This window comes from Homo sapiens, chromosome 9 (genome assembly GCF_000001405.40).
Source record: "Homo sapiens chromosome 9, GRCh38.p14 Primary Assembly".
Classification (NCBI taxonomy): Eukaryota; Metazoa; Chordata; class Mammalia; order Primates; family Hominidae; genus Homo; species Homo sapiens.
In genome coordinates this window covers 84,725,255-84,744,490 of record NC_000009.12, presented here as the reverse complement: position 1 = coordinate 84,744,490, position 19,236 = coordinate 84,725,255, and the positions used below count along the sequence as shown (strand labels likewise).

Here is a 19,236-nt window from a genome sequence, read left to right as displayed (position 1 = left end):
GAAATGAGCAACACTGATTTCCAGGACAGGTGCAACTTATTTGCACAAAGGGCAGAGACGTAAGAGGATATGTGGAACAAGCATCAGTATGAAACTTGGGTCCACACGTAAACTTTTTTGAAGAGTTCTGAATTGCCAATATTTCAGTTTCAGAATGATTAAAAGGTAGATCCACACAATACTTAGAATTGTTAACGCTCTGTTCTCATTTCACCAAGTCGCAAATGCAGTTGCTGCCTTCTGGATCAATTTTAGTCTACATGGGTCAGGATAGAAATAATGACTGATTTTTTTTCAGGGGTTGTCAAAGTTTTTATTAGCAATATTGCATATAAAAGGTCTCAGAAAACTCTTGGTAAACTTATTGCAAACAATGAGGTTTATAATGTTTGTATTTTAATTCTAAATAGGTACACTGCCTTCAATTTCCATCCTGAAGAGGCTACCTTGTTAATGCAGCCCCAGCTAAACTTCTCCAGGTAGAATCATCATGCTGGCCTCAGGGCAACCAATTTAAATTGTATTTTTATTAGCAATGTGTTCCTTTGTGAATAAAAAATAACAGAAAAAAATCTATTTTCTATGTGTTTGCTGTTTCATTCTTAATGCCAAAACCACATTCTCATCATTTTCCTTTTGAATATCTTAAAACTTATTAATTTTAAACACTAATGGATATCATTTATTTGTTTAGTTTTCCCTCTTCATGTTATAGCCAACTACGTCTGCAAAATTTAAATCATTCAAGTGTCTATAGTTTAGTATCATGACATTTTGGCCAAAAGATCCAAAGTAGGATCTGAGGCTAACAGGAAGATGACATTTTTAAAGTCTTGAATTAACTGGGAAAGGGTCAAAAATGTAATTTTAAGATGTAAAACCACAATTCAAACGTATTTCTCTGTGAAACAATTTGAGAGATTCTTCCTTTAAACCATATCAAGACAAATACAAACACAACAACACACAAATCATATGCAAAAAATCAACCAAACCACAGCTTGGAAGAAATATGGCTTAACATGCACAAGCAGGTAAAGACAATATTATTCCCCAACTTAAAATTAGCTCAGGTTAAATACACACGCATATAATAAACATACAGACAGGCTCATTTTATAGAAAAAATAAAATATCAATCAATATATATAAATATAAAATTAAGGAACAGAATATTTTACAGAAAATATATAAATGTAATGTTTTAATCAATCTTTTAATCATTCCTAAATTTAAAGCAAGTCTTGAAATGTAGCCTTCCACTTCCCCAAACAGTGGCTTGCTGGCTTGGAAATCTGTTAAATATGGGTTTTCACACCTAGGAAAACATCCTTGGCATTCGATCAAAACAGCAAAGGAGAGATGCGATATTCCATCAAAAGCTAATATAGGCCGGGCATGGTGGCTAACCCTGGTAATCCCAGCATTTTGGGAGGCCAAGGTGGGTGAATCACCTGAGGTCAGGAGTTCGAGACCAGCCTGGCCAACATGGTAAAACCCAGTCTTAACTAAAAATATAAGAATTAGCCGAGTGTGGTGGCACGTGCTTGTAATCCCAGCTACTCAGGAGGCTGAGGCAGGAGAATCGCTTGAACTCGGGAGGCGGAGGTTGCAGTGAGCATAGATCGCGCCACTGGACTCCAGCCTGGGCAACAAAGTGAGACTCCGTCTCGGAAAAAAAAAAAAAAAAAAAAAAAAAAACTAATATAATGGACTTTGGTTTCTTTCTTTCCACGTTCCTGAGAGAATCCCATTTTTTTTTTCAAGGGGTTAAGCCTATCCACCTTCGGGGAAGCTGACTTAAAGTCTGGGGGTGAATTTAGTTACTGAAGGGATAATCCATCCCTCTTAGCAGTAATAAGGGCAAGAATGGACTATGACCCAATTGGGTCTTGACTTGGATACAAAGAGGGCTTGGCTCTTGTCTCTTGGGAAGTTCTCTTTCCTTGAGGACGCCTTCAGGAGCGCTTCCCTTTCTCCCATCCTTGTGAATGGCAGCAGCTCCCCCGCCACATTCTCTTGTAACCACAAGGGGACCAGCCTTCAGTGAAGCTGGCGTGGTGGGAAAAAGAGAGTAGGGTGAAGGGAACTTGGGTCCCAGATGACATAGTGGAGCTGCTGCTTTAACCAACCCTAAATCAAGCCCTACCTTTGAGGTTCCCATCTGTGAGCCAAACACCTTCATTACACAAGAAACATCATTTTGAATTGGCTTTACTGTCATAGCCAGAAACTGATATACCTCCCTTTTCTTGGTAGCCATGGCTTTTAAACAGGTAATTAGTTCCCAATTAAGGAAATACGATGTCTGTTACAGCCAGCGGAATGGATTCACTACTTCCAAGAACAGGGTATGAGAGAGAAAGTGCTATTTACAGGCACTGTAAATGTCAAGGGAAAACGGCCATCAATATTGAATGATTTTTTGAAATACTATTTTGGCCTATGTAATGCTTAAAGTGTAAATTTAACTGAGCTTAGAAGAGTCTTCTTTCAGTTGATTTACTTCATGATACACAAACATTTTGAAAAAGAAATACAAAGTAGAAAACACGATAGCTACCTTCATAAATTACATCAGGATAATTTGGGTTTGCACCTAAAAGGCAAAACAGAGCAAAGATTTGTAAGTATGCATTTTGGAGTCAAAAAATTACTAACCTATGTCAACTAAAATAAGCTAGACATACACTGAAGTTTTGCAATTTAATAGACTGCTTTCACAGGACAGGTAAACAAAACTTTAAGTTCTTGAGTTGTTCCACATTAACTCCGTTCCCCTCCCCGGTTCTCCCACTTTCATCCCTCCAAAAAAGAAAACAAATCACAAAAAAAGATCACAAATTGCTTTGAAAAAACTTCAGCAATCAATGAATTATTACCATTTTTCTTCTTTTGGTACTGTTTCTCTTATACAATTGGCTACTTTCATTGCAGTTTCGGTATTTTTATTCCAGAGACAAATAATTTTCGTACCACTTTTGTTATTCTCTGATGGTTTGAGGGTTACTGTTAACTGTGTAGCAGGGCCATTTGCATTCAGGAGCTTGTTATTAACCACCCTGCATAATGCTATCTAAAGCACAATTTTATTCTCCACCTTATCTTCAGGGGAGTTTCTAGGGCTGAAGAAACCTTTTTTAAGCCCTAACACAACAAAGAAAAATAAAATGTACTTCCTCTATTGAAATCATTGATGTGTAAGAAGTTATTAAAAAATGGTATGTCAGAGAGAAATGTAAAAGTTATCAATTTAATTTTGGAGGATGGCTCTGCAGTCACCAAGATGATCAAAATATTCTGCTTTAAGGTATTCCTATGAGACTTGCCAAAAACATTTTTTTAACTCAGCATCAACAAGAACTGGTAACAAAAACATTTGCTACTTATTCTCCAATCAGAGCTAACTGGGTCTCTACATGAAAGTCTACTTGGAAATGAAATTAAATTTTGTTTTAACATTTAAGTGATTGCAAAATGAATTTCCAAAGCTATTTCCTATGCTTTTAGTCCTCACTTGCCATGTGAAACAGTAAAACTTGTAAACCATAAAGCTTACTCAGTTTTCATTTCACTTCTGAACCCTTAGCAGGAAAATGCCATTAAAGTAAAGCGAAATGAGCCAATTTTCTGTTCATGCATTCCCCAGTGAATAATCAAGGTTAGTCTAAATGAAGAACCAAATAAAAGTGGCCCCAGTGTTCAAATTAGAATTGTAACGCATTTCAACTAGAAAAATATCTATTTTAGCAGGGAAAAAAAATGAAATGAATGGCTGTGTACTTCCATCCAGGGATGCTGCATACTGCTGTATAGTGCATGCTTCGCACAACTCTAGGGGGCGCCTTTAATGTTGTAGTCCATGTGAATAACATCACCTGAAATTGTGCCATGAACACCCTGCGCACCTCTGCAGTCACATGTGATGGGAAATTGTGCAGTGCACACCCTGTGCACCTGTGCAGCCACATGTGATGGGAAATTGTGCAGTGCACACCCTGTGCAGCCACATATGATGGCACTGTATCAATGTATGCAAAGTCATTGATTCCAGTAAATTTCAATCATATTTTGAAGAATTTTATTATCCCAAACACCAATTCAAACTCATTTTGAGTTATCATATGTGAATATGTCTTGTCAGGGTTGCTTATAGCTGTTATAACACTCTGAGAAGAGTCTTGAAAGCTGCCCTGTAGTTTGAGGGCTAACTCAATGAATAAAGCAGCAGCAAGAAGTCCCAGTGGCTGCCCTCCTGATGTCACTTGCAGGGGACTCAGTTGTCCTCTGAAGTCCTTTCCCTTTACAAAAGCCCTAGACCAAATGGAGTCCCCCTCACCATGGGAATTTACTACCCCTGCTGAAGGAAAGATTCTATAAGCCCAAGAGAGCAAGTCAGTCTTCAAAGTACTCAGTAATCCATTAGTTTAGAAGATTTCACTTGTCCCTCTTCCTGATGTGCCTTTCAACACAATATGAGATTTTCAACTTCAAATCCAGCCTTCCACGTCATCATAACTATACATTTGTCTTGCAGGAAGGTGGAACCTACTCTATTTCACAATTCACATTCACTGATTTGATTTATAATCTTTAAATATTTGGATATAAGTATGTGGGTCTTCATTTGCAGTAGGGTGGCCAACCATCCCAGACTGCCAGGAACTAAGAGGATTCCTTACAAGTTTTAAAACGGGGACACTCCCAGCCACATCCTTTCCATCTGCCCAGGACTGAGGGCTTTTTCTAGTTCTGGGGCTTTCACTCCTTAGCCTGGGAGGAGTTGGCCACTGATTTATTCTCAGGCCCCCACAGACCCCCACCGCATGTGAGAGAAGGGCCTGTGGTCACCATCGCTTTTACACCTACAGCTCCATAAGAAAGTGACAAGCCTGAGGATTCAGAGCCAGATTTATCTCAGCCACACATTTAAACGGCCTCAGTGACTATGAATGACATACAGGTTTAATCTGCCACGTTGCAGAACAGGAACATCCAAACACACTACCCACACGAAGCCCCTAGGAAGATCCAAGAACATCACATCTATTCACTGTAACAAATGTTAGGTATGGAAAAATGGGATTTGGGGTCCAATCGTAAATAAAGACGTTAGCCCATAATCTAAAAAATAGGCCAGGGCCGGGGGTGGTGACTCACACCTGTAATCCCAACACTTTGGGAGGCCAAGGCGGGCAGATCATCTTAGCTCAGGAGTTCAAGACCAGCCTGGGCAACATGGGGAAACCTCATCTGTATTAAAAATACAAAAATTAGCGAGGCATGGTGGTGCATGCCTGTAGTCCCAGCTATTCTGGAGGCTGAGGCACGAGAATCGCTTGAACTCAGGAGGCGGTGGTTGCAGTGAGCTGAGATCACACCACTGCACTCCAGCCTGGGCAACAAAGTGAGATTCTGACTCAAAAATAAATAAATAATTTAATTTAATTTAATTTAATTAAAAATAGGTCAGTGTCCATCCAGTCTTATGACCCATATCAGCGCATGCCTTTCCTACCAAGTTCACCAGCAAAACTGTTAGGCCATATCTAAACTTTGTGAAAAGCACTATTTTTTCCTAATTTCATCCTCCCAGATGTATGACAAGTACTGTCACTTTACTTTTGTCCACAACAGCCAAATTTAGTGTAAGATTATGAAACTCGCAGAAAGACAATGTGAGACGAACTATAACAGAGTTGCTTTTATTTCTCCCAAGCATACTGCACTATGTCTGACAAAGGTCTACTCACCACAACAAATAAACACCTCTCAGTATACAAAGGTTTAGTTAGACTGGCACGTGAGAGGATAGAGACCTAATGTTTATGAAAAGTGAGGGTCACATTACTACAGCTGACCCCAGCTCATCAAGTATTTTGCTTCCAGCAACTTCCTAGTTTAGCAAAACCTCCCATGATATTTACACTCCAACAGTAAGGTAATTATTAACATCATTTTAAATGCTGACAGAAAAAATGTATCACTTTCTTTTTAGACTTCTGGCAATGGTCAGATGTTGAAAATGTCTTGCCATTTTTAAGTCTAATTTCTAAATGGTTCCTTCATTACATACTGTTGCACACTGTTATATGCTAAAGTTAGGAAGCCCTGTTGGAGATATTCAGGACTAAAAGGTCACTGAGGAAAGACAAACACTAGCTATGAGAAAAAAATCCAAGAAGAAGAGAATTAATGAAAGACAAAGAAGCTGTATCTGACTTGAGCCATGCCCCTGAAAGTGGGGTTTTGAAAGGGTTATTATGATTTCTTGAGTGCTATCCTAGTAGTGCTCATCAAATCAGAAATCTCAGATTTAGGTAGCAAGAAGTAGCGTCAAGCCTTAAATCTTCATGTTGGGAGACAGTGGAATAAAATATTGAAATCCAGGAACTCTATTCAACCCACTGGAGTTCCAAACAAGCAGCAGACTGTCTATGATCCCCACAGCTCACTGGGATGTAAGCTGCAACTCCTCCTCAGCTGAAAGAGGTTGAAGGCCAAGTACCAAGGTCTGCAGATCTGATGGTCAAATCCTGTTTTCTGAAGAACGTGTTGAGCATCCTAAGGTGCCATACTCACCTTTACTTTGTTCTTGACCTAAGGAATGTTGTCAAGAATTACCGAAAGTGAGTAGCCAGTCCACGGTACAGCCTGAAGTGCCCCAAGTGGGACTACTGAAGATGGAGAGAGACGGATGGGGGGGAAGGCTGAAAAACTGCCTATTGGATACCATGCTTATTAGCTGGGTACAGGTTCAGTCACATCCCCATCCTCAGCATCACATAATAGACCCACGTAACAAACCTGTACATGCACCCCGATTCTAAAATACAAGTTGAAAAAAATAGTAAAAGAAGGATAGCAACTGTATCACAGCCACAGCCGCACTCCTGACAAAGCTTCCCAGGGAGCCAGTGAGGTCTGCACCTCCAAGAGGCAGATGAGCCCTGAGGGCATTTGGTCTTCCACACATCAAAGATGGAATCACTTTCCTCTTTCCCCAACAGCATCAAACCCAAGCACTGCACCATCCTCCTAATTCCATGCAAAATAACCTAAAATAGGACCTTTTTATTTCCATCTTCTAAACTCACTTATAGCTCATGAATAATCTTATGACTTTATGTAAATCTTGATGAAAGAGAAAACATCTTTATGACATTTCAACTGTTAAGACTCTATAGTTAAAGGAAAAACAGGTTTGTTGGATAAAAAAAAATATATTGTGGGAAGAGAGGTAGCCTGACAGTAGGGTTCATTTTCCATTCTGCTAACAAGATAAAAAATAATGGGGAGGCCAGGAAGACACATCTGTTTCCTTCCTTTAAACTTTTAGTCTCCCTCTAATGCTCTACCTAAAGAAAAAGAGAGAGAGAAAAGACTTTTCTATCCATTCTATTTGCAGACTCTATTTAATGTGATCATGTGATCCTGAAAAATATTTCAAAGAATTCCATATGATAAGGCAATTACAAAAGATTTGTTCTATTCAAATAAACTGTCCTTGCTTTGCCGACAGTATTTTCTCACTCATGGGGGGATCAGCCTTTTGATTTTCAGGTTCTTCTCTTCTCTTTCAGAAGGGCAGGCTGAACTCAGCGCCTGAAATTGGCATTGCAATATCTGGTTTCCTTTCTGGCTGAACCACTCATTTGCTATATAGCAGTGGGAGTCTCCACTTTTTCTGTAACAATGGAGTCTTCTATAAGACAGGAGAGGATAATAGCATTGGCTCTGGCAATTCCTCAGGAGCTTTGGGAAGCATAATTAACTAACATTAGCACTCCTGAGGTATAAGAAGCTATTTAAGTATAAATCTTAATTATCATTATTCTGAATGTATGGCCAAATCATTCTCTTCTCAGTTATTTAAGGCAGAAAAGCAGACATAAATTTCTCTCCTTCACCTCCAGGACAAGAAATAGGTCCTGACAAAAGACCAAAGGAACAAATAGTATAAAGCCAGGAGAGCTTTATTTAATGCATAACATTTGGAGAAATTTCCTCTCCCCTCGTTCTTTAGACTAAGTACACCAAATCTAAATCCACCAGTGTGGGGCATTCTAAGTGCCGCAGAGAGCTCTAGTTCATCCAGATGTCATGAATCTTTCGATAAAACAGCACGGAAGGAGAAGCTGTGGGAAAAGCTCTTCCAATATTTATAGTTTGTTCCTGACGCGCATTTCGCATAGGAGACAGGAGCTCCCGAATTAGGAAGCGCAAGTCACTGACTCCCACTGCTTGTGTGAATGAGCATTCTTGAGCTGTGACATTCTTCCTGAATGAGTGGGCCATACAGACACTCTTTATGTACTGCCTAAAGAATGGTAAGCTTTAAAACGAGGGTATTTTATCATCTGGTGCTCTGGTTAGGTTTGTTCCAAGCCAAAGGGTTAAATCACTTGGGTAATGATTCTGAACAGAATCTACTTTGCATCAACGTGATGTTCACATTTATAGGACTACCTGGCCTTCAAAATTGTTGCAACTTGGGCTATCTGATCAGAAAATGCTAACAAAGGCTTCAGGTTTCTTCCTCACAACAAATCATAAGTGATCTCTCTGCCATTAATTTCTGCCTCAAATTCTACTCAAAAAGAAACCTTCATCACTTCTAATCTCCACTCAGTCTCCATGTACACTTTCTGGTTCATGAAGGGATTTTTATATGGAGGATTGAATTTCAATGACTGACATACAGTGGATCAATTTCATCTTAGACAAGTCTTTCTTTTTGGCTGGTAAGCTAAATAGGATACATGAGAACTTTTGAAGATTCCTCAGATAACCCCACCCTGTGTGTGTGTACGTGCCTGCAACTGCTGTCTCTACTTTTTGTTCACTCTCCCTAGCCTTCTTAAGCCACATATTGAATTCATCCAACTTTATGCCAAAACCAATTAAAGGGCATCTCTGTGCACCATCTATTCTATATTTGTATTGTTATTACTATTTGATATCCTCAGGGAAAGTCAGTGAGGTCATCTTGATGGATGCCTGACCAGTTCTTCCAGTGGTCCCTCCAGCTTCTGCAGGGCATCCTCACTAAGCAAAGTATGATCCATGGACCAGCAGTACTGGCATCATCGGGGAGCTTGTTAGAAATACATTAGTTTGGCCCATTTTCAAATCCATTGAATCATAATCTTCATTTTAACAGGGTCCCCAGGAGTTTGGTATGTGCATTAAAGTTCGAGAAGCCCTGATTTAACAACTCACTGAGAAGTTTTACCAGAGTCAAAAGGTCTCAGTGAGCATGAAGGACGACAATTTTTATTTTTATTTCTTTTTATTTTTCATAGACACGGGGTCTCACTTTGTTGACCAGACTGGCCTGGAACTCCCAGCCTCAAGGGATCCACTGCACTCAGCAAAAAAATGACAATTTTTTTAATGAAACACAAAGTAATAGCCAGGTACCTAAATATTGGAGTCAGGGTATCTTTGACCATAGCTACAAAAAAGAAGAAAGGACAGGAGATTGGTTTTGTCCCCAACAGCACATTTCTAGGCTACATTCCAAATGAAAAGGAGAAGGGGGAAAAGAGCTTAGACAGCAGAAAGATCTAAGACTGACCCACCCTCTGAAAGGTGGGTCAAATTTTTGACTTAATTTTCTCCTTAAAGGGCTGTATTAGCCTGTTTGCATGCTGCTAATAAAGACATACGCAGGACTGGGTAATTTATAAAGGAAAGAGGTTTCATTGACTCATAGTTCCATATGGCTGGGGAGGCCTCACAATCATGGCAGAAAGTGAAGGGGAAGCAAGACACGTCTTACATGGCAGCAGGCAAGAGTGTGTGCAGGGGAACTTCCTTTCATCAAACCATCAGATCTCATAAGACTTATTCACTGTCATGAGAACAGCACAGGAAAAATCCACCCCATGATTCAATTACCTCCCATTAGGTCCCTCCCACCACACGTGGAAATCATGGGAGCTACAATTCAAGATGAGATTTGTGTGGGGACATAGCCAAATCATATCAAGGGCCAAGTCTAGAAAGCTCAGGTAGTAAAATGATAGAGTCTCAAGATCCTTTTTCTGGGCAAGCCCATGCTTCTGAATAAGGAAGGGCAGAGTTAGTCTGAGATAAAAGCATTTCTGGGTAGAAAGCTGCTCCCTAATGGCTACAGGGCATAAACACAAAGGGAGGTGGGGAATGTTCGCCTCCTTTATCATATTCTCAATGCCTACCTAAGGAGAGGATAAATAACACTGAGCACCTGCCTATCATGTGTCAGGCACTGCATCGGCACTTCAGATATGCTCAGCCTCAAGGCGGCAACCTTCTAAGCTGGGGCTGACACATGACAGGCAGATGGCCTCTACTTGGGGCTAGAACCCTACACTTTATGGAGAAGGAAAGTCACGCTTCACACTCCAAGGTGTTAAGAAAATTGCTCAAAGCCGCAAAGATCATGGAGGATGGAACTCAGATCTGTGACTGAATCAGATCTGAGTTCAAAACCCAAACCCTTCCCACTGCAGCAAAGCTGCTCTTTAAATAATATGGAAAGTGGAGGCTAACTATGCTCAGGATTCCAAGTTCAAACATCAGATCTGAATGAGTCATTTGAATTGAGAATAAGTGAAAGTTTATCTCATTAGAAGTAAAATCTTAGAGGTTCCACCTATTCCATTTAATAGTCTCTGTTCCCTGGCTTCCACAAGAAAGAAGATTTAAAGAGGTGTCTTTGTCCTCCATTGCCTATATTTTCTGCATACCTTCATCTGGGTCCTGCCTAATATCAAGGCAGGGACATCCCTGGGAATGAGAAGCTGATGTCTTACAACCAGAATAAAGGCAACCTCAAAGAGGAACAGGGGACAGGAATAAGCAGCCAAGTGTTTCTCCACCTTTTATATTTTATGGTTGGCTAGGGTGTCTTTTGTTATATGGGCAAGAGGCTGTGTTTTATTCCCACCATCCTGCACCCCACCCCTGCCACCTTCCTAAGAGGTAGGGTCTACGTTGTCTCAAGTGTTACAACTCGCTGCAAGGGGTAGCCCAGGACCCTCTGTTTCTCATACCTCCAAAGACAGCTGGCACATTGTTCAAAATCCCTAGATTCTAGCATAATAGGATGTTAAGTGAGACTCTTCCTGCCTCAGTAACTTATACCAAAGTGATGTGAGGCACTCAGAGGCAGAAATCACAAAGGAACTGGCTGAGAACTGGACCTATGTCCTTGGAAATGTCTGATTCACCTTGAGAGTGTAAGATATCCCCGGAAGGAGAGAACAAGGAAGGATTTATAAAGAAGTTTCTTTAGGGAAGTGCTGCTCTGACACCACCCCACCAAGGGGCTTCCATGGAACCACTCTGAGAGTTGAATTATGTTCTCTGCAAACGGATGGCTCAGAGGACAAGGCCTGACCCTTGCCAGAGAAGGTGAAAGAAACCTGCAGCCATGGGGTATAGGTGGCATTTGGCTTGACCTGTACACCTAGGGGACAAGAGACTATGAGTGTCCCCTGCAGTCCAGAGGCAGCACAGGAGAAAGTCTTTGTGGGGAGTCAGGTCCTGCTGAGGGACCCCAACAACATAAAGTACTTTCCTGGAGTTAGGAGTTGCTTGTGCCAGCTGGAGCAGAGGCACATTTGTTCATGTCATGGGAAATACAGAGAGAGAAATCTCCAAAAGCCCACAAAGGTATCCAGGAAAGAAAGTCGGCACATCAGCATTGAACATTCCCAGGTTCCAAGAGCACAAAGCCACTAGTGAGCCAACTACCCTGTCATCTCCTTCTCCACCCCCTTTCACCTGGGCAGCAGGGACACTGAAACTTCAACAAACTCCATCCCTGACCCCATACTGCCAGCCTGAACTTGGGGAGGACAGGAGACTGGCCACGAGCTCAAATCCAGAGTTTTCATTTCTAGCTCAGGTGGGACATGCCATTTCTCAATTGAGATTCTATCTGCAGCTGAAAATAACCAAAGGATTGTTTGTCACTCAATCAAAAGCAGAAAAATGTTACACAGCTCAGAGTTCTCCTCCAATCAGTGAGGCTCACTCCTGGTTGCTCATTAGAATCACTAGGGACCTTAAAAACAAAAAAAGCCAAAGCCCAACTCCCATCCCAGAGCCACGGAATCTGAGTTGCTAAAGCTAGGCCCCAGGAATGTGTATTTAAAAATGTAATCAAACAAAATAGTGACAAAAAGTCTCCAGTTGATTCAAATGTGCAACAAGGGGCAGGAAGCTACTGTTCTGGGAACCAGGGAAGATCTCTCATACTGAATCGATTTTAAAGACATGATGGAAAACAAAAGTAACATAAAACTCCTGTAGTCTGATTGTCACAAGTTGTACTCTTCAGTGTGCTGGAAGAGAAACATCATGGTTTTCTAGATTTCATTTTGAAGCTGAAAGTTTGCATTTTTTGCCTTAAACACAATCCCAAACTAACCAGAGCTAAGTTCAATTCTTAAATGTGGGACCCAAAGTGATCGATTTAGTATCTGGAGTCTGGGAAGGTCTTTTCTCTTTCTCAGTTACTAGCCAGGCTACCAGTGATTAACAGATGGGGAAGGGCGCTGGCTTGGTGTCTGGGGTCCTGCTGACATCTGAAGATCTGCTAGCACCTGTCCTTCCACATTAGCCTGCTGGCTGGGGAAATGGCAGAGTCTGCAAGGCCCAGCACTCTCAAGATACATTACACGGGGATCTTGGTTTGCTGGGCCGCTCTCTTTTAATGCCTGCCTCACATCCTCACACGCTGTGACTGGCACCCCCTTGGACTGGGCTGCCGCTGTCTTGAGGTCGAACTTCCCCATCCTTCCTCCAAGTAGAGAACAGAGTGTCTGCCACCTCGTCTAGTGTCTGCATCCCAAGCGGAAGTAAAGGTTATGAGGACTGTCATTACATCCAATTGGTCCATTCCTCTTCACCAATTTTTGTTTTGGAGACTTTTGGTTTATTTATGCTTCAGTTTCTTTCAATAGTCTTTATTCTCTCTTTTCAAAAACAAGTTCCTAAGCAAAATGACCATCCCATGGAAATCTTAGTTCTTTTTTAAAAATTATTTTTTACGTTTTATTTTTGAGACAGGATCTGGCTCTGTCACCCAGGCTGGAGTGCAGTAGCACGATCATGGCTCACTGCAACCTCCGCCTCCCAGGCTCAAGCAATCCTCTGACCTCAGCCTCCCGAGTAGCTGGGACTACAGGCACACACACCACATCCAGCTAATTCTTGTATTTTTTTTGTAGAGAAGGGGTTTTGCCATGTTGCTCAGGCTGGTCTTGAACTCCTGAGCTCAAGCGATCTGCCCACTTCAGCTTCCCAAAGTTCTGGGATTACAAACATGAGCCAGCGCGCCCGAGCAGAAATCTGCTCTAAGCTGAATGAGGTGCACATACGCTAAGCGACACCAGAGATGTCACATTAATTATGGCTCTGTATGGAAATGCAACTAGCTTCACAGTGAGCCCAGGCTGCCTGCTTCCTTGTAAGCCGGGAAACTTCCAATATAACAAATAAAAAAAGGGAAGGGGGGGATCTTACCAAAACAACTGGGAGAAAGTAGCTGAAATTTCTTATAAAAAATATTTGTGAGAGCTAAACTTCTTCATCAATTATCATATGATAATAGTAGAAATATTAATGGAATATAAAGCCAAACTTGACCTGCTGTTGTTAACTTGGAAAGTACTTTAGACAAGCAGGGATTTTTTTTTTTTTTTTTTTTTTTTTGCTATTTGTTTATTTTTCTTTAGTTTTTTTTTTTTTTTTTTTTGAGACGGAGTCTCGCTCTGTCGCCCAGGCTGGAGTGCAGTGGTGCGATCTCGGCTCACTGCAAGCTCCGCCTCCCGGGTTCACGCCATTCTCCTGCCTCAGCCTCCCCGAGTAGCTGGGACTACAGGCGCCCGCTACCACGCCCGGCTAATTTTTTGTATTTTTAGTAGAGACGGGGTTTCACCGTGTTAGCCAGGATGGTCTCGATCTCCTGACCTCGTGATCCGCCCGCCTCGGCCTCCCAAAGTGCTGGGATTACAGGCGTGAGCCACCGCGCCCGGCCTATTTTTCTTTAGTTTTAAAGGAGGTTAATAGAGAAAGGAAGCAATTCTAAGAAAGGTCATTGTCTGTGTGCTATGGTTGTGAGTCTCATAAATACCCACAACGATTCTATTTCCCAAGCCAAGTGGGGTCAATCTCTAATCGGTCACACTGGTTTATGGCCCACTAGGGCCATTTATATCCACTGTCACCCTGGGCCAAGTCTCCTTCATTTCCACTTTCATTTATTACTCCTTGATAGCTGACACTTAAGTAAATACTTAAAGAGAACAAAAAAACGGGCTTTTCTGAAAGCAGTTATTAATATTTTAAGGACCTAATAAATTCATGAACAAGAAGATGGAAAGAAAGAAGGGGAGGAAACATATTTATAAAATTTAGCCTAAGTTGTATTTTTTATAAATAATTATTTCTTTTAAAGGGAATGTTTGAGAAGCACCAAGTTATTCTTATACCAGAAAACAATTCTTCCCCATCACAAGCTAAGTAAAAACTAGCAGAAATGATCAATGAAAATGAGGCCACATGGATAAGAAGAGTTCAGCTCTACCAAATATCAGTACCATATAGAAATGTTCAAAAGGAAAGACATCAAAATCCTTTCCAAAACAGAAGCTACTGGCTTTACACCAACAGTACTGTGCATTGATATCAAAAGACTCAGACCACTTCTGACAGCTTTTCACTGCAGACCTTCACTCTGAATCAAGTTTTGCCCCCAAGAGTTTCAAAGGGCCACTGGTGAAATTCAAATAAGTCTGAAGTTCAGTTGTTAGTAATGTACCAATATTAGTTTCTCATTTGTGACAAATGTACCAAAGTAATGTAAGATATTAACAATGGTGGGGGAGGTGATAAGGCTGTGAACGCTCTATACTATCTTTGCAACTTTTCTACAGATCTAAAATTATTCAGAAATAAAAAGTTTATGTAAGAACAAGCAAAAAGCTACTGTCCTAAATCAGTGTCTCTGGATTTAACTGTGAAGCTATTATTCCCTCAAACATGACTTCCTGCACACTGCAAGCTAGGGATTTACTGCAGCAACCATAGCCAAGCAGCTAAACTCTCAATTAAGAGGAAGATTTAATGGAAAAGACAGCAACAGCCAGGGGTGTCTGGGTTTTGCATCCAAATATTGCTTGTTTTATGTGCTCCTGAAGGGCTACTGTTTATAAATCAAACACATATTCCAAATCACATTTTGAATATACTAAGCAAGCTTGTGCATTTAAAAAGAGGTCTAGTGAAGAGCAAAATAATAGGAACTTATCATGTAATGAGAAGGACTGCATTCTTGTTTATTGTTTTGCAGAGATGGCTTTGCATGGATCACCTTTGCTGGTGGGGGGGCCCTGGGAGCCACACAGGTACATGCAGCCCAAGCAGCCCCTGCCTTACAAGTCTCCCCAGGGTTCTATTTTCCCTTCTCTCCACCAAGTCATCTTTGCATGACTTTGACTGACTCAGAGCTACTCTGATGAGGAACTCTATTCATGTACAGCTCCCAACATCCAAACACAGGCCTTGGCCACCACATTGGTAGCAAGCATTTGGGCAATGAGACTGAGTAGGTAAGAACACTCCACTGAAGGACAGCATCTGAAGCAGGTAAATGCATGACACTTGTCCCACTGTTCCTGAAGCTCACACTGACACGCTCCTGCTGTGCCCAGAGTAGACCCCTGATGCTAGCCATCCTTTCCGCAGTCCTAGCCTTTGGCCAGAGAAGCACTATTACCACTCCTAGGAAAACAGCTCCGGAGCCAATAAAAGAATCACTCAGCTCAGTCAGCCCGGGTAAGCAAAACAGTCCAAGACACTAATTTCTCATCCATGGATGAGAAACCAGAATTCTCCTTTTTGAATTAGGTAAGAGGCTAGAAAATAAATCTTAAATGCATCACGAGCCAACCATACACAGTTCCTGCGCTTGCGGTTTTGCATGGGTTTTGCCATTGTGGGTACAAAATCTCATTAAATACTTGCAACAGTGATGGAAATAATAATAATAACCCTTTTCTCATAAGATACCCAAGCATCCTGGAGTAGTTATTAATCCAGTGTGTATCAGATAACTGTTCAAAATTATTAATTTCCTCATCACCTTCTTGGGAGGAGTACAACTCCCTGCCCCTTAACTTGGCTTTGGCCCTGTGACTTGCTTTGGCCAATGGCAGATAAGCTGAAGAGACAGTCCAGTGCACCAGCCCTGAATCTAGGCCTTAGGAAGCCTCACATCGTTGCAGTTGTCCTCTTTCACTCCACACTTATCATAACAGGCACATCTCCTATGTAGCTGCTGCTTCATGACCCTGAATTCCACAATAAATACATGCAAAATAAAACCACTCCGCTGACCTATGGATCCATGAGCAACACTAAATAATGGAGTTTTAAGCCACTAGGTTGGGGGATGGCTTATTGTATACATGATTTTGTCAACAGGTGAATGATAGACTTTATCTTCTCCCCACATACAAAAGTGTCAGTTACTCACCATCGTCAATTCCAGGCCAGCCCATGAAGTGAGCAGAAATCTGTTTCTCATCCTTCCCATACTCATTCTTGGCTATTAGAGTGTAGTCCCCATTGTTCATGTGAGTGGGATTATCCAGCTGGAGGCAGCCGTGGTACTCCGTGTGATTGGTAACATGTATTTTAGTACAGATGTATTTGGACTCATTCAATATTGCCCCGTTATAGAACCACTGAAGCGCTGGTTTGGGGTTGCCTTTCACAGTGAATGGAATGCACCAGTGGTGGTCTGAGGTTGGAGATTCGAGAAATGTGATAGTTGGTGCAACTAAATTGAAAAAGAGAGAGTTAATAGCATCAGAAAGCTCAGAATTCTCCCCATCTCGAGATGTCTGTGTCATTGATAGGGAATTTTACTCAACCATTGTTTGGCTTAGAAAAACACATCATCAGAAACTCTGGAATCCATCAGTATTTTGTATCATCATCAGGGTGGATGTAACTCCCCAAAGAGAGCTTCAGAGAGACTCCTTTCTCTGTTCTACTTAAGACCCCTGCATTACAGTCATTTCTCAAATCTATTCAGTATAAGTGAAAACCAGCTCCAAACAGATCCAAGAGATTTCTGACAGCGGAAAGAGTTCATTTGAAGTTGACTTTGGTTTCTAATATCTGTATCTTGATATTATACAGATTCATCACCAAAAAAACTCAAAATAATAAAATAATGAATACTTTTTGATAGCACTTCTTTCCTAAATAACAAAAATGACTTTTAAAATTTTGCCTGAAGCCCTGATCTCACATAACTTCGAAAACAGATCAAACTGATCAATGCAATAAATGTTGCTGCTGATGATGAATTATTATAAATATAACAAATCAACATTTATTACTGATTGTCAATAGTAAATACTCTTTGAAAGTATCACATTTCATGATAGTGTTGTCCATTTTTGCTAGGATCCTAGATGCCAATGTTTAGATCTTTTAAATGTTTGGGGTCCAATCTAAGCCTGGACAGAGTAGGGATTATTTCAACTTTAGATATAAAGCACTTTATGCTTTGGGGAAACAAACATTATCAAGTAGAATTTTTAAACAGAGTACTTATCCTAAGTGAGGGTATTTAAAATGCTTCATCTGTTCATTTTAATGTAGTCTGGCTTTGGTAATTACAAAATCAAGGACTGGAAAAGACCTTTGAGATCTAATAGCATCATTTTTTTCAGATGAAGAAACCAAAGTGCAATGAGGTTAAGTGAGCTCATCAAGGTTACTGAGCAAGGCAGATCTGGAACAAGAATCTTGAATCCTGATGTTTAATACAGTGGCCCTTCCCTCTCAGGCACTGCTTCTTGACTGTATGTGTTCATCAAACAAGAGGAGAAAAAAATCTAAGGTATTGTAGCCAGGGAACAGACAAACCCTCTGAGTGGGGTCTCTGCACTGGTTATCTTGGTTGTTAATATTTTTAGTTTGTTTTTTGTTTTTTTAGACAGATTCTCACTCTGCCACCCAGGCTGGAGTGCAGTGGCACGATCACAGCTTACTGCAACCTCTGCCTCCCAGGTTCAAGCGATTCTCATGCCTCAGCCTTCCGAGTAGCTTGGATTACAGGCGCCTGCCATCGTGACCGGCTAATATTAGTATTTCTAGTAGAGACGGGGTTTCATCATGTTGCCCAGACTGGTCTTGAACTCCTGATCTCAAGTGATCCACCCGCCTCGGCCTCCCAAAGTGCTGGGATTACAGGCGTGAGCCACCACACCCAGCCAGTTGTTAATATTATTTATAATTTATTGCTTCTGCTCTTTGTCTAAACTATGACAGATAAGGTCAATTTTTCAGAGCCTAGTGACCATACAGATATTAACCTGAAACTGAGAAAAAAACTCAAGTTTGGATATTTTTAATAGAAAGCAGGTAATCTGATATTACCCCCTTACTTGTATTCAGGTAAATCCTCCCACAGTACTACCTAGGAAGAAGCAAAGCCGATAAAAGGACCCAATTCACTTTCATAATTTACGGAAAGATTTCCAGTTACCAGTGACATTCCTCTCAACTGAGCACCTGTGCAGCTGAACTCTGCACATGTATGTTGTGACTATGTCCCTCACTCTGAGAAATGTGATATTACTAAATTTAAATGGGCAAAGTTTAATTGTTTGCTTTACCAAATATCTCTCACAGGCCTCCTTAAAATAGTCTTTGGAAAACAAAAGTTTTTAATATGTGACTTCATCTATAAAAATTCAATTAAAATATAATTTGGGGAGACCCTATATATATTATACATATGCATATATATATACATAATATATATATAATATATATAATGTACATATATATATATTACACAAAATAAGGTCCATACATGTGTAGATACACACACTTGTAGACCTGTGCTATGAACCAACCACTACAAGGACCACAGTGGGGCAGGGGCCACACTTACCTTCCTCCCACCAGCCCAGGTCCCCACACCCAGGGCCCATCATTCCTTCCACCATGCTCAAATGAATTTTGGGTTAGGTGCTGATTTAAGGACATACAGTTGAAAGTGCTTGCATATGTTTGGAGATAACATTGACTTCAGGCTTCTGAGTGGGTCAAAATGATGAGAAATTATGAGTTTAGTACCCACTGGGCATAGTGATTGTACTAACAATGATAAAGGATTACAGCTGATGATTTCAATCATTCACTCCAGCAATCACACAC

General features: G+C 40.9%; 1 protein-coding gene across 38 annotated transcripts in view; it reads right to left on the bottom strand.

Annotated features, from left to right (window-relative positions):
• NTRK2 (neurotrophic receptor tyrosine kinase 2) overlaps nucleotides 1–19,236 on the bottom strand; it is a 358,533-nt gene that overhangs the window by 282,564 nt on the left and 56,733 nt on the right. For 35 of the 38 annotated variants that reach the window (XM_017014751.3, XM_017014753.3, XM_047423432.1 and 32 more), the window contains 2 exons: nucleotides 16,532–16,837; nucleotides 2,564–2,599 (listed from right to left, as the gene is read on the bottom strand). In XM_017014751.3, the coding sequence (XP_016870240.1) occupies nucleotides 2,564–2,599; nucleotides 16,532–16,837 (342 nt within the window). The remainder of the gene's footprint in view (nucleotides 1–2,563; nucleotides 2,600–16,531; nucleotides 16,838–19,236) is intronic. The other 3 variants (NM_001291937.2, NM_001369546.1, NM_001369534.1) reach the window with 2 other exon arrangements.